General features: G+C 37.9%; 1 protein-coding gene across 2 annotated transcripts in view, besides 1 other annotated feature; it reads left to right on the top strand.

Moving 5' to 3' along the window:
* The window catches only part of DCDC2 (doublecortin domain containing 2), a 211,538-nt gene that overhangs the window by 47,655 nt on the left and 141,753 nt on the right, over window positions 1–22,130 (top strand). The gene's annotated exons all lie outside the window — the stretch shown is intronic.
* Window positions 11,213–11,910: an enhancer, noted in NCBI's record as "NANOG-H3K27ac hESC enhancer chr6:24323956-24324653 (GRCh37/hg19 assembly coordinates)". NCBI's record gives its function as "activates a minimal SCP1, AML or CMV promoter by ChIP-STARR-seq in naive H9 embryonic stem cells {active_cell/tissue: H9 hESC(naive)}" and the evidence as "EXISTENCE:reporter gene assay evidence [ECO:0000049][PMID:30033119]".

Below are 22,130 nucleotides of genomic sequence, written 5' to 3'. Positions count from 1 at the left end.
CTAGTTTTGGGTAGTATCTTTATAGCAGTATGAAAACAGACAAATACAGTGGGCTTGGCTGCAATAGGCTGACAAAGTGAACATCTGGCCTTTTTACCTTCTGTGGGTGGTGGTGGGATCTGCTTCCCTGCCAGACACATATGGTTGGAATTCTATTCAAATAGAAAACGCATTCAGATGCTGGAAAGCTGAAATATGACAAATACTTACTATACATCCTTTGATGGTCGAATAACCACATATCTTTTGTTTCTGCCAAAATTAATGCCGCTAATTCTAATGCTTTTGAAAATACACTCCTCCTCTTCAGGAGGAGGCAACCTCAAGTCTCTTTAGTTATCGCATCCTATCTCACTTCTCACAGGGCACATTTGCCTGGTGAATGGCTTTGTGTGCTTTGAAAAGACTTTGAGGAAGACTCAAAGCAGTTACTTGTGATATTATTGTAGGATCCTTCAGCAAAGTACCAGGTCTTCCCTTCAATTTTGGGGGCTGTCAGGTCTGGTAATTGACTGTGGGGTTGAGATGACTGATAGTTTACATCAGGCCACAGTTTACATGATCTAGCTATTTTTTGTTACACAAATCAAGTAGAGGGTTGTACAAGTCTTTTAATCTTGGGAATCTCGTGATCATTTAGTCACCATCATAAAATCCATTGATTGTGGTTACCATGTTTGCTGTGCCGCCCTCTTGTGACTGCTCTGCCTGCTTTGTCTCTGGAGAATAAGTGCTGTTTTTCTCCTTTTGCCACCCCAGGATCCTGATACATCACTGAAACCAGAAAGCCCGTTTCAAATGCAGCATCTTCCACCAGCATGTCTGGTCTAGGGAGAACAACAAGTAGAGTACTTTTAGAGTTGCTGGAGCAACATTCTTCACCAGTGTGTTTCTCAAGGCCTCGTTGAAGGGAGTGTGTTTGGGATCCTCACTTGAATTACATAGATAGAAGATTAGTGGGTGGGGTGCTCATGCCAAAGCTACTCCACAATTTCTGTTTCCTTTAGCCTTTGAATCCCTTTCTCTAAGTTACATGTTTACTGTAAACAGATAGTAAATAACTTAGGCTTTGCAGGCCATATAGTCACTGTGGTAACTACTCAACTCTGCTGTGGTAGCATGAAAGCAGCTATTGATGATTTGTGAGTGAATGGGTGTGTCTGTGTTCTAATAAAACTTTATTGGAAATCAGAAGATAGACAGAATTTGGCCCATAGGTCATAGTTTGCCAACCTCTGCTCTGAGTTACCTTGAAGAAAATTTGGCATCTTAACCTTATTTAATGAGGGCCACCGCAAGTCCTGGTTTTCGTCAACTAGCTAAGCAAAAACTCAGAGCTATCCAAGATAACATATTGTGTCCAGCATTTCCAGTAAGTATACCCATGATAAAAGAACAATACCTTTGTTTTTTTCATTTGACTCTCTATGTACAACCTTCAGAAGAGAATGATACTTTGTCCAATGTTAGTTCCAGCTAGTTTCCAGTGAAGACATTATCAGGGACTATGGAATTATTTAAAAACAAATTCCACTAATCATGCTTCAGAATTACTGTACTCCAATTAGCAATAACTACAAACTAGAAGCCGGTTTTGTTTGCAAGGGCTATCTTCCCTGCTCTATACCTGACTTTCCTCCTATGTTCCTTCTCCTCTCTTCACTTCCCACTATCCATTCCAGTTTTGAGAGTCATAAACCTTCCTTATTCTCACTGCTTAATCATGCCCATCAGTTATAACTCCTGTTTCTGAAATTCACCCTCTTCTCTCCACTTCTGCCACCTCTACCATCATAACCCAAGCTACTGTACACCTTGCCTGATTTGCCTCAGTAGTCTCCTACTGTGTCTCCTTGCACCCATTCAGCTTTTGCATTCTGTTTTATATTTTATTTCATCCAGAATATGGAAACACTAATCTGATCCTGTTACCATTGAGTTTAAAACTCATCAGTGACTTCCTGTTACTCTTAGCATAAAGATAAATGCCTTAAACTTAGCCTGCAAGACTTTACATCAATGTTTTTTGGACTTCAGTTCATGAATCTTCAGTACGTTGAAAATCAATTTAGGTAGTTGTGACAAATGTATACAAACATAAAATAGAACATATCAGGCTGCACTAGAGATAGCAAAGATAAGTACTGTTTTGTGAAATTGTGATTTTGGTTGCGTGTGTGTGTGTGAATTGGATTGGATTGCAACATAAGACGTATTTCTTACTTTGAGTTCTGGTCAATAGAAGTCTGAAAGATACTATGTGTGTTCTGGGGTCGTCATACCTTTCAGGATCCACAGTCTAACACTTCCTTTTGCTCTCTTTTCTCTGACCTTGCCACCGTCTTTCAAGAAGTGGAGTATGTTTTTTCTCTCTGGGAACCTGGATGGAACTTGGGACTACTTGGAAGAATAAAATGCAATGGAAGGGACATGGCATGACTTCTGGCCTTTCTTCTGTCCACAGCATACCTGTGCTACCTCTTATCTCAGGGCCTTTGCACATGGCTGTTCTCTTGAGTTTGGAACATTCTCCCTCATTCTTCTTTTTGCCTTTTTTGCTCATATTTACCCTAGCACCAGTGTCATTTCCTCAGGGAAGTCTTGTCTGATTTTCCTAACTAGGTCAGTTCCCCATTATTGATATACATCAGGCCTTTCTCCTTTGCAGCACTTGCTACAGCTGAATTTTACCTTTGTGGGGTTGCATAGCTGAAGTCTAACTCTCCTCCTAGATTGTAAACTCCAAGAGGTTAGATACCATGCCTGTTTATACTCATTTTTATACCAGCCCAGCATCAAACACAGTGTCTTGTGCACAGAAATATGTGTGTGTGTGTTTGTGTATTTAATGAATAGTAATCATGCTGTTTTCCTAATATATGAAAATGGCTGTAATGAGTTTTTGCTTTAAATACTACTGTTCTTTTATGTTTTAAATTGCTTAGTTTAAAAAAAACAAACAAACTGTTCCAATTATTAAGACAACATAGTGAGTCACCCCAAAACTTAGTACCGTAAAACTATGACTTATTCTGCACCTGGATTCCTGTGTGTCAGGAATTCAGGGAGGGTGCAGCAGAGATGCCTTTTCTTTGCTTCACGATGTCTGGAGCCTTAGCTGGAGATCTAAAAGCTGTAGGCTGGAACCATCTGAGGGCTGTTACACATGCATGAGTGGTGACTAATGTTGGCTGTCATTGGGCCCTGGTTCCTCCTCTTCACCTGACTTTTCCATGTGGTCTCTTCTTGTGGGCTAGATTTTCCTTCCTTACAGAATGGTGGTGGAGTTCTAAGCTGGGAGCAGGAAAAAAGAGGGAGACTGCGAGGAAAAGATGCTTGGACATCACGCAGCATCACTCCTATTGCATTTATTCTTCCAGGCAGTCCGAAGTCATATCCCGGTTTTCGGGGAGGGGAAATAGATTCCATCTCTTGATGGGAAGTGGCAAAATTATAAAAAAGAATGTGAGCCAGAAATATTGCTGTGGCCATTTTTGGAAAATACAGTCTCCCACACTGGGAATGTATTTCAATTACAATTCATTTAGATATGTAGCTACCGCATGCCTTTAGATGTCAGTATATTTGATGGTTACTTTGTGAATTTCACACAGGGTCTCTTCCTTTCCAAATCTCTTATTTTTTAGCCTCCTGAAATGAAGAACTGATTTTTCACCTAATTGCTTTCAGAATTAAATACACTTAAAAAATAGTTGTGCAACATGTTTATTCCAATCTATACATAATTTCTCCTTCTTGGTTTTCTGGTTGCTGAGGAAGCAACACTTTCTTTTGGAAATTTTTTCCTGTGGAGGATTACCAATATTGGAAAAAGAATATGAAGAAGCTACTGAGTTTGATCTCCTGAAATATAATCTGTCATCAGAATCAAGTAGAAATATGTTATTACATGTACAATTTAGTCTGAGAAATCTGTATACTCACATGCAGATAATCTAAAAGAAGTTACTTTATATAATTATAAAAAATACTTAAAAGCATTTAGATATTGCTGAGTATATCCAAATATTTCTGACGAGATTCAAATATCTATTTAGATATAATAAAGGTTAATTCTAAATATAATTATTCAATAACTTTTGTACTTTAGTATCGCATATCAAATAAAGGATTAGATTTAAAATATTACCATTTTGTATATAATATACGACCCATTCTAGTCCATATCATCTATTCCTGTCCTAGCTACTCAGGAGGCAAAGGCAGGAAGATCGCTTAAGGCCAAGAGATCAAGGTTGCAGTGAGCTGTGATTGTGCTACTGAACTCTAGCCTGGGTGACAGAGCAAGACTCTGTCTCTGAATTAAAAAAAAAAAAAGGTATATATAGACAACTTAAAAAACTTCAAACTAAGAATTAACTTTTATTTATTAACACTGTATAAGCAATGGCTCAATGCACTTTAAAGGGTTGAGTAGAGAGAGCTATGGGAATTATACATTGTTACCAGAGGGAATTCTCTTCCCGTCTTCCAGTTAGATAGGAAAGATTTTATAGAAGGGGCGATATTTCATTAGCTGTTTGAGTGAAAGAAGGAAGATGCCAGGAAGAGCTGGAAACAAAAGAAAGCAAATATATATCTTTATCATCCTGGAAGGAACAGGGAAGAAGCCTTCATTTTTTTGCCTTCTTTTTATTTCAATATTCTTTTTCTCCTCAAATATTGTAGTTTTAAAGTAAATATCCCAGTTGTTATAATTCATCTATAAACGATAAAAATGCCTAGTTTCTAAAACTGCAATTTAAGCCTTTTTGGCACTACTCTGCTGCGTAAGGGTTCATCGCAGTATTGAAAAATATGATTAAACCACAGCCTACCTAGACTTCTCTTATTCAGATAGAATAATTTCAGTTTCAAACATCATTCCCTGTGGATCCTGTTTCTCCATCCCTCAGTTGCTATGGCTGCCCACTCTTTCCTTTCTAAGTTCTCTCTGTCCCCCTTGAGCTGTGGGATCCTGTGTGAACATACTAATCTTGAAAGAGATGAAAGAGTATTGAATGGCAAAGATAGCCTGCCTTGCACACTAGCAAAGCAAATTTACAAGAGAGAAATTCTTTCAAGTGTTCTTTGTGGTGGTCCATTTTAAAAGGTTTTCTGATAGTTTTAGAGGCCAAATTCCTTCTCCTTTTGAAGCTAGACAAAATGACTTTTTAGAGCAAAGTTGCCCAAACAATATGTTTGTACAATGTGACCTGACCCTTTACTTTGGTTTATTATTGTACTCCCCACGGTGTGAAGATTGAAATTTATCTTTTGATACATAGGGCAGGTTTTAGAGTCTTTGGAACAGTACGTGTAGAAGTTACATTCAGCCCGGGGTTGTTTGGTAGTTGGTAACCTGGAAACGTAATTGCCACAACAAGCCATCCAAACAGTTATTCTTCTGAGTGCTCATAATGAAAGTAATACCAGGAGGGATCAGCCAGGAATTGACTAGACAGCCCTTGCAAACAAAACTGACTGCTACATTTTGGTTATTGCTAATTGGGGTACAGTAATTCTGACACACATTTAGTGGAATTTAAAAAATAATAATAATTCTACAGTAGTCCCTGATAATGGGTTCACTGAAGACTTTAGTTGGGACTAACACTGGATGGAGTATCATTCTTTTTTCATTTGAGGGGTAAAGTAGCTAATTTTTTCTTTGTATTCAAGAAAGTGTAAGAGACTTGCTTTCTTAAATAAATGTGTTTTTCCTCCAGTATTTCATACCATGCAAGTATTACAATTCAATGGAAAGGAACACAGTGTGGGCATTTGAACACAAGCCTCTCCCTGCCTGCCCCCTTTTTTATTCATTCATGTCTTCATTTTGGTATTATAAAAATAAATGCTGATAGAAGATAGCGCAGGAAAGAATGTTTCATGTGGGATGGATTTTGTGTCATCTCATGGATTCCTTGAATTATTTGTATTGAATGTAACTAAGGCACAAAGCAAGCTAGGCCTCTTGTTGCAAAACTTAGATGAATCATGGCAATGGGTAGCTTGGTTCTAACTCCAATTCCCCATTCTGTTTGGAATATTGGATGGCTAATGTTAAGTTGTTGCCCAAGTTGCCTGTCTGCATTGTATCTTAAGTTCCAAGTTATTACCATTCTTTCTTACCGTACCATTATAATTTTGGGATTGCAGGGTGAAAATGAGGAGTTGAAATGAAATAGGATAGCAATGGTATATTTTTCAACTACTCTTTCAATAAACCTAAGTTGAAAAGAGAGATTTAATTCAGCTTGTTTTTCTTCTTAATATTGATACTTACATACTCAGGAAAACAAACAAATGATAAAGTCTGTCCAGGAAGTCTAGCTTCTGTGCAAAGGGAATGAGGGTTAATATTCTCCTTCGGTTGTGCTATTTTTTTGTGTGCATACCTCTTTGATTACATTTACTGCCTACATTTTGGGTGATTAAGCTTCTTTAGCCTGAATCATCTCTCCAAACTTTCATTTATGTGTTTCCGTCAGTAGGGAGGGCTCATCATTTTTTACCTAAATGCTTCTGTTTTGCGTTGTTTATCATTGAGAGATGGCATGGCATGGCATGGTGGAAAAGACGTGAATTTTGGAAACAAATAGCCTTAAGTTTAAATCCTGATTCTAGGACCTATAATATAATTTCCTCTGTGGAGACTGGAAAAAACTAATGTTTATCTTAGAGCTGTGGTTATCAAGAAATATTAAGTAAATATCTATCATGTATCGGATACATGATGTTGATGAAAAATGAGAACTATGTGGCTCCTGCTTTCCAAGGAAGAGCTTGTTGTCCAGCAAGCGTAGATATGCGTACAAATAACTGTAGTAACCTGTAGTAATTGCTTCACAGTGTCTAAGCCCAATGTTGATAAGCATTTCAAGGGGCATGCAATTAATATTGCATGATAAGGGAATCAAGGAAAGGACACTTCAGAGAGGAGGTGGTTTTCGAAAAATCAGTAGTTCAGTGGACCATTGAGGGTGGGTTAAAAGGCCAGGAGTAGGGACATAGAACCATAAAATTTAGCAGCTGTGTTGGCTACTAGTTTGATCAATATACCTCTGGGGCATGATTGGCCATGGGCGTGGGTTTGGCCCTCAAACTTGGCAGAAGGGGGCTCTGGCTATAACAAGTCCCAAAAGCAGGGATTCTCAACTCTTGGGACATTCAAACTATACAAACTCCCCCTGTGCCCTAAGATATTCAGATACAAGTTATGGCCTCAATTAGTTGAACTTATAAGCCTTGCATATTCAGATGTCCAAAGTACAGCCAGTTTGATATTCCTTATAGAGTACTTTACAGAAATCTAAACTCCTTATTACTCAGAGATCTAATAATCGTAAATGTAAATCTACACAAGGGAATCCACTTTAAAATCCTCAGTTGTCAACAACTCAGTGCCAGTAGGCAGGGGATTTAGAATTACTCTGTGACCTGAGCAATAGGGCTTACCAAGTTTCCTGTATATACAGAGGAGATGTATGCCCTTGAAGAAAGTATTTCTCTTTGGTTCTTGAGCAAATAACATTTATTAGATATCTCGGACACAGAAACTCTTCTTGTTAATTGTCAGAGAATTTCTACTTCACTTAGAAAGTGTCTGTATTTTCATCCATGCAAATGGAATAGCGTGAATCTCATTTCTTTGTGCTTGCCATCTCTGCCATCTGTCAAAGAGTAACACATGTTGGGCATCAAAGAATGCATCAAGCTAAACATATATTAAGCAGAGACTAGCAAATGCAAGGAGAAAGACAAGCACATTTGAGAGGCTTTTAGAAATTTTTTTTATTTAAAGAATATTCATTTTGTTTACTAGTAACACTCCATAAATTCATTATAAGTTTATAATGTTGCCAGGCGCGGTGGCTCACACTTGTAATCCCAGCACTTTGGGAGGCTGAGGCGAGTTGGATCACCTGAGGTGAGGAGTTTGAGACCAGCCTGGCTGCCATGGTGAAACCCCGTCTCTACTGAAAATACAAAAATTAGCCGGGTGTGGTGGCGGGCACCTATAATCCCAGCTACTCAGGAGGCTGAGGCAGGAGAATTGCTTGAACCCGGGAGGCGGAGGTTGCAGTGAGCCAAGATTGGGCCCTTGTACTCCAGCCTGGGCAACAAGAGCAAAACTCCGTATCAGCCAATAAATAAATAAATAAATAAATAAATAAATAAGTTTATAATGTTGATTGACTAAAAGTGGACTGTTGCCATGAAAACTAATTATATATATGAAATGCAGACACATTACATGCTGACAGTTGCTAAAGACCCTGAAGCTATTAGCAGAAATTAGTTTTAAGTAAGCAAGATTAACAAAGTGTCAACAGCAATGAAAACAAAATGCTTATGTAAGGGAGAGAGATCTCAGGGTTTATAGTCAAAAGTCCTAAGCTGGGTGGCCCGTGGCCTCAGTTTCCTTAACTGTGAATTGGTGACGAAAGCAACACTTGGCCTAACCTAGGTTTCCCTGTAATTCAGTTCCCCTCATCAAATACATACTATCCAGTTAATTGTAAGTTTTGACAGTGCAGTTACCCTGACTGACTTGTTCATGGTTACAGAGGGATCCATAGACATTTGTTGCCTCCAATTTGCCAGGTGCTGAGCTGTGCTGAAGGAATGAGATTATGGTAGAACACAATCCTTGGCCTCAAAGTGAGCCCATCTATCTGGGGAGTAGTTAGCAAATACTGCAAGTAGAATACAGTATGGTATGGGTTAAATGAGGATGTAAATGAACATTTTTATGCATTTTTTTTTTTTTTTTGAGACAGGGTCTCGCTCTGTCACCCAGGCTGGAGTGCAGTAGCATGATCAAGGCTCACTTCAGCCTCGATCTCCCAGGCTCAGGGAATCCTTCTGCTTCAGCCACCTGACTAGCTGGGACTACAGGCATGTACCACCACACCTGGCCAATTTTTTGCACTTTTAGTAGAGACGGATTTTTGCCATTGTTGCCCAGGCTGGTCTTGAACTCTTGGACTTAAGCGACCCACATGCCTCGGCCTCCCAAAGTGCTGGGTTATAGGCATAAGCCTCCATGCCCGCTCATCATACATGCTTTTTATTGATACAAATGATGGTGTTTTTTTCTTCTGCTAGATAAATGTTGGCTTCCTTTCTATATCTGCTCTCTTTATAGTTAATATATATATGTCACCCAGCTCTTAACATGCTTTGTATGATTTTTAATTTTATGGATCATCTATAGTAAATTTTAAATTTTTGACTAATTTTCTACTATCCAGGGAGCTCTAGGGCATGGGGGGGTCCTTCTATTGGTTGGTGTATTCTAAAAATGGAGACTCTTTTTAACATTTAACATTAGCTTGAGTCAAAAAGAGAGGTGGTAGGTATCCCGATGAAATGAAAAGGTCTGATTTCCTCCCTCCCTTCCTTCCTTCCTTCCTTCATTCTTTCCTTCCTTCCTTTCTTCCTTCCTTCCTTCCTTCCTTCCTTTCCTTCCTCTCTTTCCTTCCTCTCTTTCCTTCTTTTTATTTTTCTCCCTGTCTTTCTCTCTTTTTTCCTCTCTTCCTTTCTTTCTTTCTTTGGTTTTGGAACTTTGCATGAAACTTGATCAATAATTTTAATTCTGCATTCCTACATATGTTGATAATAAAGAAAAATTACAGTAGTTTGTGGTCTGGGATTCAACATGGGTGTGGGGAAGGAAGAACTGAAATAATATCAAGTAAATATTATGGTAGTAAGAACAGAGAGGTTGTGACACTGAAAAACAGTTTCCCAACCTTTTAATTTTATTTAAAAACCAGAGACATGGTAAAATAAATGTGACTCATTTCTCATTCACATGTATAATATATATATTTTTAAAACAGGCCTTGATATTATACTAAGGAATAAACTCTGCTCTATAGGCTGAGATGTGAATGTGATGAAGAAGAGAGAGGGAGAAGAATGTTCTGGATTTTCTCTAGTATGTTATATTAAAACATAACAAAAATCCACTGCACCTGCTATATGTACCCTGAACTTGCAGAAAATTTTGTGGAATATGTTTGCTGAAAAATTCTGGACTAAGAGAACATGATGATGCTAATGTGACTGAAATCTTTGATTCTTCTTTGAGGAACAACCTCACAGAAATGGGGCCATCAGGTCTCCCTTGCGACATCTTCAAGCATGTGAGGGACGTTTAGTTTCTTAGAGAAGACAATAACCCCCACTCATCTTTGCCAGTGGGAGCCAAGATCTAGGTTATTCTTCAAGGAAGACAGTTGATTGAGGCTTCCAGCCTCTCACATTTTCTCTAGATGGCACAATAACTTACATTCCATGCTGATTTTCCTTTCGCCCAGAGGACCTCATAATTTGCTTATTTGCTGTAACATAAAAACGGATCACAGAATAAAGATGGCAAATGTAAGTGAGCGCTTTTATTTGAGAACCGAGGAGAAGTGTGAGGAAGTAGATATCGTGCTCTCTCACTCCTAGATGGAACGTTTTAGTTTTGACCACGGGGCTCTGGAGATTCTGGTTTTGGATTATTCTAAGAGGAGAGGGTCTCTTCAGGGAACCTCTGATTCCAAGGCATTCTCTGTGGTAGGCAGGCTGAGAGTAAGACGAACATGGCCTTACTCTTCATTGCATTTAATGTGAAATCCTTTCTTCTACTTCTTGTGCTGTCTTTGATGTAGTTGAACTATTTGAGATGCCAAAGTGTCATAGCTCTCTCTCTCTCTTTTCTTTCTTTCTTTTCTGTCTTTCTTTGTTTTTTTTTTTTAGACAAGCTCTTGCTCTGTCAGCCATGTGGGAATACAGTGGCACAATCATAGCTTACTGTGGCCTTGAACACCTGGGTTCAAGTTTTCCTCCCACCTCACCCTCCCAAGTAGCTGGAACTATAGGCATGAGCCACCATGCCTGCTTAAATTTTTAACTTTTTGTAGAGATAGGGTCTACTATATTATTCGGGCTGTTTTTGAATTCCTATCCTCAAGCCAGCCTTCAGCTTTGGCCTCCCAAAGTGTTGGGATTACAGGTGTGAGCCACTGTGCCTGGCCCCAAAGTGTCATAGCTCTTTGATGAGCTACCCTCACCCAAACAATCCAGGGAGACGAGGCAAAATATGAAAAAGATGGGACAAATAGGGAACAGACTTTGATTTTCTTGCTAACAAATATTAACAAGTGAGACACACTCAGTATCATAAACAACTTTTGCTTTTGCTTCTGCAAATCTGGATGGACCAAATACAGATTTTATTTCTTTATGTGTTTTTCTTAAACCAGTTTCACTGTCATTCATTTTCCTTTCTTAGGTGAATGTGTTTCATTCTAGTAGGATAGAGATTAGCTTACAGTGGGCTGATTAGGTAAGGGGGTGGTCACTGGGGCCATTGACAGTTTTAAACTGTTACTTTTTGCGAGCTTCTTACATTTTTTGAGGAAAAAACTCACTGAACCTTGAGCATTCTTCTGTATCTACATCAGGTGCTTTGACCTCCTGGATGGTGCAGTTTTGATGTGAAAGTGAGGTTCTTTTGACCCAGCTCTACCCTTAGGGAATGCAAATATTTTTCCAATTAAGCTTGGTTCACTGGTTAACTACAAGCCATTGTTTCTCACTGTTCTGAGCTAATAAGCTTGGTATGTGAAAAAAGACCTCCCTCTGAATATTAGTGACAAAACCCATGAGTGATTTCAGGGGCTAACTGTACTTTCTCCTCTGTTTTAGTGGTATGATAAATAATTACTTTAGTGTTAAATATAGTTTGAGTACTTTTTGTTGTTCTTTTCAACTTGCTTCACAAAGTAATAGAGGATCAAATTTCTTTGAAACTAAAACAAAACCCAATGTAAGCAAATGACAGAAGTTTATGCTTAAGTGCTTAAATGTAGTCTAGTTACAGATGGAGATTGTTGCTGGTTGCCTCAGGTGGTAGTTTTTATCACACTGTAAGTACATACTTGTGCTTGATTATTGGGAGAAGACAGGGAGAGAGATGAAGACAGGGAGAGGTCTCTTATGTATTAGATCTTTTATTTGCATTAAGGTCTATTAAGCATTATATTCATTGAACTTTTCATTTTGAAATGATTTTAGAAAAAAGTTGCCGAACTTACAGAGAATTCTTTGTATACCTTACTTCACCCAGTTCCTTTGTTAATGTCCTACATAGCCATAGCATAGTTATCAACACTAGAACATTAAAATTGATACAATTACCTAATCTACAGATCTTACTAGAATTTTGTCAGTTTTCCCACTGATATTTTTTTCCTGGTCCAGGATCCCATCTAAAATCCCACGTCTTGTTTGGTGTTCCTATCTCCTTAGGTTCTGCCAAAACTAGGTTGTTTTGATAGAAAACTACCAAACTACCAACTACCCTGTGACTGTTCCTCAGTCTTTCATGACCTTGACAATTTTGAAAGTCAGTTATTTTTATTTTTAAATTGAGGTGGAGTCTTGCTCTGGAGGCTGGAGTGCAGTGGCATAATCTTGGCTCACTACAGCCTCAGTGTCCTGGGCTCCAGTGATCCTCCTGCCTCGGCCTCCCGAAGTGTTAGGATTATAGGTGTGAGCTACCATATCTGGCAAGTCAGTTATTTTGTAGATGGTCCTTTAATTTAGGACATATCTGGTGTTTTCTTGTGATCGGGTTGAAATGATTCATTTTTGGAGATGTCAACAAAAAGAGTCAAACTCTGTAAAATATTTTAAGAGGTTAATTCTGATCCAAATATGAGTGACCATGGCCTGTGACACAGCCCTCAGGAGATCTTGAGAACTTGTGCCCAAGGTGGTCGGGGTACAGCTTGGTTTTATATATCTTAGGAAGGCATGAGACATCAATCAAATACATTTAAAGAAATACATTTGTTTGGTTCAGAAAGGCGGGACAACTCAAAGTGGGGGCTTCCAGGCTATAGGTAAATTTAAACATTTTCTTGTTGACAATTGGTTGAGTTTGTCCAAAGACCTGGGATCAATAGAAAAGAATGTTCCGGTTAAAGACAAAGGATTGTGGGGACCAAGTTTTATTGTGCAGAGGAAGCTCTCAGATAGCAGACTTCAGAGAGAGCAGGTTGTAAATTATTTCTTACTGGACTTAAAAGGGTACCTGGCTCTTAGTTGATTATCTCCTGGATCTGGAAAAAAAAAAAAAAGGAAGGAAAACAAAGGGGAAAGGAGATTCGTATAGAATGTGGATTTTTCCCACAAGAGACTTTGCAGGGCAATTTCAAGGTATGGCAAGGAAATATATTTTAGGGTAAAACATTTTTATTTTCTTCCTTGTTATGCCAGAATCAGATTGGAAAGTAAGTCACGATATGCAAGGTCAAATAAAACCCATCTGATGAGAATTTATGATTTGTAGGTTATGACTCCCCAGACCCCTTAGATAGGAATTTGGGCAAGATAAAAAATCAGAGCTTAATCTTCAGGGAGCAAAAATACCAGGAAATTATGTTCCCTGTTCAGTGCATTGTATTAGAAGACACTGCTGAGGAAACATGATTGAAAAAAAAGTCTTTTCCCAATCCAGAAATTCTCTCCACAAAAGGTAGTAGAGAAAGAAGAGTGTTATTATTACACAAGCGTTAAATCAGAATATGACACCCATCACAGGCAATCCATGAAACGATTGCAAAGACAAAAAGAAATCTTACCCTTTTAGATAGCCAAGTAGAGGCTACCCATTACATACATGTTTTCAAGATAAACAAAACTAGTCTTCAAGAAAGAGGGCTTGACAGCATCATTTGTCACACGTAATTAATTCATCCTAATTTTACCAGGTATTTGGGGTGACCATTTGTATTAGCTAATTTGTTTTTATCCAAAGGAGAAACAAACGTCTCATGTCTTTATGACAGGAAGTTTGGCTCCTACCCAGCAAAGTTAGGATCCTATCCTCCCACAGAGACTGGGAAATACCAGTGATATCGCTTTTGCTTTTTGCATTTCAAAGAGATGACTGCTAGGTCCTTGAGTGGGACATTTCTGGGTCATAAAGTTGACAAAAGGCCTAAGTAGTGTTTAAAATAATTATGCAGATTTCACAGAGAGGACAAAGTACTTATACTCTAGTATTCTAAAGCAAATGCTCTGATAAAAAGGAAGGGAGGGAGATCTCTTATTTTTAGAATTAAACCTCTTATTTTTAATTTGTATTTGTCCTTGCAGTACATGATGCTGACATGTCATATTACTGGTGAGACTGACTTTGATCAGTTGGTTACGGTGATGTCTGCCAGGTTTCCCCACTGTAAAGTTACCATTATTTTTTCCTTTGTAATTAATTACCGTCTTGTGGAGGAGATAGTTTGAGACTATGCAAATATACTGTTTCTTAATATTCATAGTTTCACCCACAAATTTTAGCATCCATTGATGGTTCTTTTCTGTAGTAACTTACTATTGTGTTTACCAAAAGGTGATTTTCTATTTTCATTATTTCTTCTACATATTAATTGGAATTCTTCTATGTGGAAGAATTGCCCTCATTTATTTTTTAATGTATTTATTCAATCATTTATTTGCATCAGTATGGATTCTTAGATATTTATTTTAGGTGTTAAAATCTAATAATATCATTCGTTTTGTTGCTTAAATTATTCTTGATTTGGCCACTGAGAACTCTTTCAAGTTGGCTTTTGTGTCTTTCCAGTATGGCCCTGCTGTTTTTTTTTTTTTTTTAATTTTTTTATTTAATTACTTTCCAGCACCACAAGATGTTCCAGGCTTGTCTTATATTTTTCTTTCTCTGGCCCTGGAATAAATTGTTTCTCCAAGGATCTCTAGTCCCTTTTATTGGAGAATGGTATTTAGAAACCAGCATCTGGGCATTAGGGGTGCTTCTTGCTATTGAGGTTTCAATGCTTTTAGGCCCTCTCAGTAGACAGAACTAGAAAATAAATGTACATATATAACTATACATACATACAAATCTAGTTATTTCTGTATCTATTCTGTATCTATTATGCATGTCTATATGCAAATAGATATTTTAAACACTGAGTTTGTAGCCGAGTGTGGTGGCTCATGCCTGTAATCCCAGCACTTTGGGATGCCAAGGTGGACGGATCACTTGAAGTCAGGATTTTGAGGCCAGCCTGGCCAACATGGTGAAACCCTGTCTCTACTAAAAATACAAAAATTAGCCAGTTGTGGTGGCAGGTGCCTGTAATCCCAGCTACTTGGGAAGCTGAGGCAGTAGAATTGCTCGAACCTGGGAGGCAGAGGTTGCAGTGAGCCAAGATTGTACCACTGCATTCCAGCCTGGGCGACAGTGAGACTCTGTCTCAAACCCCACCCCCCACAAAACAAACAAACAAACAAAAACCAAAAAATTGAGTTTGTACTGATACCTCCAGTTCTACTCCAGCACCACGGGGTTTATTCTAGTCTGCCTCAGTTCCTTATTTGTAACTTCTTTCTGTAATAGTAGGAAACCCTACTCTCATCATCCACATTACATTTATGTATTGGTTTACTTTTAATGTAGATTCAAAATAGATTTAGAATTGCTAACCTATACTCTTATGAGAAGCATTTGATTGACTAAAGTACAGTATTTGTGTACAGCTTTTTGTCGTTAGACTTCAGTATATAGTAAGAATACCGTTTTCCCAAGCTCTTTGGGTTAGTTTCTTCCTTCACCGTCCATTTATTGATTTGTAACACAGTTAGGTTCATTTGTTACTGTATCTTTCTATTTTGTGTTCCTCCTATATTTTGGTTGGTTTTAATTATTTGCCATGGTCCTAAAAGTCATAAGCTATACAAAATATATACTGAGAGAAGGGTTGCTCCTCTCCCTCCATCTCTGCTACTCAGTTCCTACCCACACACTACCCATTACTTCTACTTATTTCCTGTCCATTCTCTGTAGGAAACCACTCTCCTTAGATTCTGGTTTATCCTTCCTGTCCTTATCCTGTCCTTTTGCACAAATGAGCAGATACATGTATACATTTTCAAAATACCCTTCTTACCTATATGTAGGGTAGCATACTGTAGATAGTCTTTGGCACTTTACTGTATTTCACTTAACAAAATGTCTTGGGAAAATCTCTCCTGGACATTGGTCTAGGCAAAGAATTCGTGACTAAGACCTCAAAAGCACAAGCAAGAAAAACAAAAATATTCTGAATCAAGGACCAGAGAAAAAGACAAACAAAACAAAACAAAAGTAGACAAATGGGACTTAATTAAATTAAAAAACTTCTACACAGCAAAAGAAATAATCAACAAAGTAAACAGACACCCTGCAGAATGGGAGAAAATATTTGCAAACTATGCATCCCACAGGGGACTGATATCCAAATTTACAAGGACTCAAACAACTCAAAAAAGGAAAAAAAAAAACCCCACAAATAATTTCATTAAAAAGTGGAAAAATTCATGCATAGTCATTTTTCAAAAGAAGGCATACAAATGGCCAAAAAGCATATGAAAAACTGCTCAACGTCACTGATCATCAGAGAAATGCAAATTAAAAATGCAATGAGATATCATCTTATACCAGTCAGAGTGGCTATTATTAAAAAGTCAAAAAACAACAAATGTTGGCAAGGATGCAGAGAAAAAGAAATACTTATACACTGTTGGTGGGAATGTAAATTAGTACAACTGCTGTGGAAAATAATGGAGATTTCTCAAAGAACTAAAAATAGAACTACCATTCAGTCTGGCAGTCCCACTACTGGGTATCTACCCAGAGGAAAGAAATCATTACATCAAAAAAGATACCTGCACTCATATGTTTATCTCAGCACTATTCACAATAGCAGAGATATGGACTCAACCTAAGTGTCCATCAACAGATAACTGGATACAGAAAATGTGATATAATACACACACACACACACACACGTACGTATATAAAACGGAATATTATTCAGCTGTTAAAAAGAATGAAATTATGTCTTTTGCCGCAACATGGATGGAACTGGAAGCCATTATCTTAAGCGTAACTACTCAGACACAGGAAGACATAGGAAGTGCATATTCCCACTTATAAGTGGGACCTAAATAATGTGTACAAATGGACATAGAATGTGGAATGATAGACATTAGAGACTCAGAAGGATGCTGGAGCAGAAGGGGATGAATGATGAGAAATTACTTAGTGGATACATTGTACATTATTCCAGTGATGGATACACTAAAAGTCCAAACTTCACCACTATGCAATATATCCGTGTAATAAAAATGCACTTGTACCACTTAAATTTATACAAAAAACAACTAAAAAAACTAACAACAACAACAAAAAACCCAGTATGTCTTGGAAACCTCTCCATATTGGTATGTAAAGATCTTTCTCACACCTTACTGCAACTTCAGAGCCCTCCATCGTATGGATGTGCTATATTTAAGCACTCTCCTATGTATGGACATTTAGGTTGTTTCTAATATTTTGGAATTATAAATAATACTACAATGAATAAAACTGTGAATATGTATTTTTGTCTCATTTGTTGGAGGTATATATTTAGAGTAGATTTATAGAAGTGGCATTGCTGGGCCAAAAGATGGGGGAATATGTAGTTTTGTTAGACATTGCTAAATTCCCCTCTGGAAGCTTTGTGCCAATTCGTGTTCCTATCATCAATGTATGGGAGTGTCTGTTTCTACTGTCTTAAAAAACAAATATGTTGCCTTACTTTTTCATTGTTTGCCATCTAGTAGGTGAGAAATGGTATCTTGGTGTTGTTCTAATTTGCATTTCTCTAGTTACAAGTTCGAACATTTTTTATATGTGTAAAGATCAATTTTTAGATTTTTTTTAAAAACATGAATTGCCTGTTCTTGTCCTTTCATTTTTTCTATCAGAGTATAAAGAGTTTTTTTTTTATTTGTATAAAGAGTTCTTTTTACATTAAGGATATTTATGCTTTATCTCTGATATAGGTTGTGAATATTTTCTTCTAGTTTGTCAATTGTCTTATGACTTTGCTTATGGTGCTTTTTTTGTCATGGAAAAATGATTTTTTGTTTTTATGTTAGTCAAATTTATCCAGCTTATTGCCTCTGGATATGGAGTCATAATTAGAAAGTCTTTGTCTTTACCAAGGCTAAAGAGGAATTCACCCATGTTTTCTTTTAGTACTTGTATGATTTCATTTTGTACTTTTATATTACTATTCCATTTGGAGTTCATTCTTGTCTATAGTATAAGATATGGATCGAATTTTCTCTTTTTCCAGAGATGCCTAGGCTACCCCACTGTCCCAAAGCCATTTATTGAAAGTTTATCTTTGCTCCAGTGATTTGAAATGCCAACTTCATCATATACTAAATTTCCATATGTACTTCCTTTGGTCTGTTTCTGGGCTTTCTAGTCTATTCCTCTGGTCTATTTGTCTATGCACAAGTACCACCCTGCTAAAATTAATTTTTAAAATTATGGTTTAAAAATTATCAAAATTGTAGTTTAGAATAAGTATAGTTTTTAAAAAATGAAAAATATATTGTCCCTGAGTCTAACATTCAAACAATTGGATTTCATATTTTAAAATTATCTTTCAGTTTTTCTCCATACATACATCTGTAAATACAGATGTATGCATGTATGTGTGCATATATGTAGTGTTTTTGCCATGGAAAAATAGCTTTTTGTTTTTACGAAGTCAAATTTGTCTCTCTCTCTCTCTCTCTACATATATATGTATATACACATATGTATATACAGAGTTGTAATCATGGAATATTTTATACAAAGCTTTTTTCATTATTTTTCTCTTATATTGTTTTCCTTGTATTTTTCATACTTGCATCGTCTTTGTCATCATTTTTGATAGCAATATATACTGTTTTATTGAGCTGATGTCATAAGTTACTTAATACAATTGTATTTAGAAAATTTCTATTGTTTGAGTCATCATCTTTAAGTATATAGCTTTTTTCCACATCTTAATTATTTTATCAGGATAAATCAGGCAGACATTTACTGTCAAAGGATATAACACATTTTATGCCTCTGAATACCTAATTCTACAGAGTTTTGAAAAAACATATTAATTTAAAATGTTATCAGTAAGGTAGTTTTGCCTCAAATTTCTCAGCATTGGATAAATGATTTTTGAATAACCTGTAGAATATGTAAAACTTCAGGTTTTCTTAAAGCACTCTGAATTTGGCAGTATTTAGGCATTTGTTTCTTACTCGTTTATCTTAATATTTCCATTAGTGGCATCCATACAGCTGATCCTTCTCTCTTAGCTTCTGAAATGGTTCGCTCTCTTGGTTTACCCCTTACCATTGCACTCTCCTACCTCCCTGTCCACTTTTCTCCTGAGTCCTCTGGAATTTTTTTCTCCTCCATTACCCAACCCCAAAGCTTGGTCCTGAACCATTTTCTTTGCTTTCTACTCTCTTCGTTGCTGAACACTTTCATTTTCATGGCTTTAAATATGATCAGTATGCTGATTACTCCCACATCTGTGTCTCTAGCCCTGACTTCATGGAGCCCCAGCCTGCCTGCATGAATGGCACCTCTATCTGGAGGTCTCATAGGCATCTCAGATGTAATGTCCAAGACTGAACTCTGGATCCACAGCAAGTGCAAATGTTCTCTGTCCCAGTAGACAGCATCACTGTCCACCTGACTGTTCCAGGTCTCCTTCGCTTACTAGCCACAAACTTCTTTCAGCAAGTTCCAGCTTCTACTGCAAACATGTATCTAGGCTTCACCCACTTTTCTTTTTTTCCTCAGTCATCCCCCAGGAAAAGCTACCACCATCTCTGACTTGGATAACTCACCAGCCTCCTTTTTGGTCTCCTTGCTTCCATTCTTGCTTTCTGCAGTCTCTTCTCCATGTGGCAGCTGGGGTGATGTTTATAAAAATCTGCAGTGGAGTCTAATTATGCTTAGGCTGAAACTTAGCCTTCTTTCTTTGGTGTAGGAGGCCCTGCATTGTGCCCGCCAGCCTGTCCTTTCCTCCTTCTCCCTACTGCACTCCAGCTACTCCAGCCTCCTTTCTGCTCCCAAAGTATTTTTTTGGTTTGATTTCTTATTTTTTTGTGTATCACTAACCCTCTCTGTTATTTTGTGGGCTTCATGAAGGCAGGGGTCTTGACTATTTTATTTACCAACAAATACTCAACACTTAGTCCAGTGCCTGTCACACAGTAGATGACTGATAGATGTCATTGAATGAATGAGCCCTCTCTGTGGATAGTAAATAAACTAGGAGGTACATAGACGATTTACTGTAGACAGCTTCTGATTTCAGAATGTGGGGTGCCTCTTAGGGCCTGTCTCTTCCTTTGGAAGGGGAGTATCATGTATGGAAGGCTTTCTTCTCTGCATTGGGGTTCTTCAGATGTCCTCAACCACTGCAGTAAAGGCTGGTGGCTGGTGTGGACGACTTGGTTCTAGGAGGTTCCTTAAGGTGTAAGTGCTTCGCTAAGGAGCTACAGAAACATGCATTATCTGGGACTATTTATGGGGCTGGTTATTTAAAAAAAAAAAAAAAGCAAAGATCAATATCATTTTCCATCCTGGAACATTGCCCTTAAAGTGTGTTTTTGGAAATCAAAGTGTATTCCACTAGTATATCTATCAGAGAGGTATAGCTATTATATAGCAATGGGGAAAACGGACATGAACTGCTGAGGCAGGATTAATTTGAGTGGGAAACATGCTCAGATTCTTAAATTTAGGTTTTAGTCCTATTACAAGAAAAATATATTTCTTTTGAAAGATCTCAAGCACTTAGCACTAGTATATCAGTTTTGGTTAAGGACAGGACACGTTTCTCTACCTTGAAACCACCTAGAACAATGCAAGTTAGCAGCATCATTGGTCTGTTGCTGAACAGTTGTGACCCTGTTAGGAAGGGTTTCTGATCTTCCGGACTTTTTTCCAACACTGACACTTATTCAAATTTAATTACTATCACGTTTGCCTTGTGAAATGTGGCATCTAGTAAGCAATTGAAACTGAAGTTTATAGGTTATTATATTAAAAACCTAGCTGATCTAGTCAATGTTCATTTTTTTAAACAGTTATGAGAAGATTCCTATATCGGATTCCATTGATGTTCATAATGATGATTTGTTCCATTTTGGAGGTTCCTATTGCCTTAGCAATTGTTTGACATTTAGGGTTAGTAAGGCCATATTTTTAGTTTTAATTTTAGTGCTTTTTTGTTTTTGTTTTTGTTTTTTTTGAGACAACGTCTTGCTCTGTTGCCCAGACTGGAATATATAGAGTAGCATGATCATAGCTCATTTCAACCTGGAACGCCTAGGCTCAGGCAATCCTCCCACCTCAGCCTCCTGAGTAGCTGGGATTATAGGAATGAGCCACTGCACCTAGCTAATTTTAAACCTTTTTGTAGAAACAAGGTCTCACTATGTTGCCCAGACTGGTCTCGAACTCTGAGCTTCAAGTGATTCTCTTGCCTTGGCCTCCCAAGGTGCTGGGATTACAGGCATGAGCCACCATGCCTGGCTCATATTTTTAATAGTTTAATTTTAAAAGCTCTATTTTTGTTTGAAATAACTTGTATTTTAATAACACTTTAGTATTTTTGGAGAATGTGAGAACTTGGAGAGATTGCTGAAATGCAGTGCCCTCATCCTGTAGCTGAGTATGCAAGTCACCCATATTGGTGAAGTGACTGCCTCCGGAAACTCAGTGAGGAGCTGCGCTTCTAGGGCTAGGAGCTGACTCCCAGTCCAGTGCTCCTGAATAAGCTGCACCACCTTATTCTTCCCTTTACCCCTTTACTGTCTGCCATCCCTGTAAGCTCAGTGAGAGTGGGGACCCCGTCTGTCCTCCTCTGCTGAATCCTCTGAAGAGATCATAAAGCCAGCACATTGTGGGTGAAAAACTAATATTTGCCAAAAATGTTAGCTTCCCTTTTCTTGCCATCTGTTGGTGGGTTCACAGCTTTCATAGTATTTCTGAAGGACTGAATGTAGATCATGTACAGTTGGCACATTCTCCAGTGGGAATCCTGGGGGCTAAATGACTTATTTCCTTGCAGGTGGAAGCTGCACCCGCCCACACGGGCTGCCCGCTGCATACTCAGCATTGCTCACTTTTATCTTGCATTGTTATGTACACACTGTCAGCTGCTCTGCATTCCTAGTGGAAAATTTACATTCCACTGCCTAGATATGTTTGATAACCA

Source organism: Homo sapiens, chromosome 6 (genome assembly GCF_000001405.40).
Source record: "Homo sapiens chromosome 6, GRCh38.p14 Primary Assembly".
NCBI lineage: Eukaryota > Metazoa > Chordata > Mammalia > Primates > Hominidae > Homo > Homo sapiens.
This window is presented reverse-complemented; position numbering and strand designations above follow the sequence as displayed.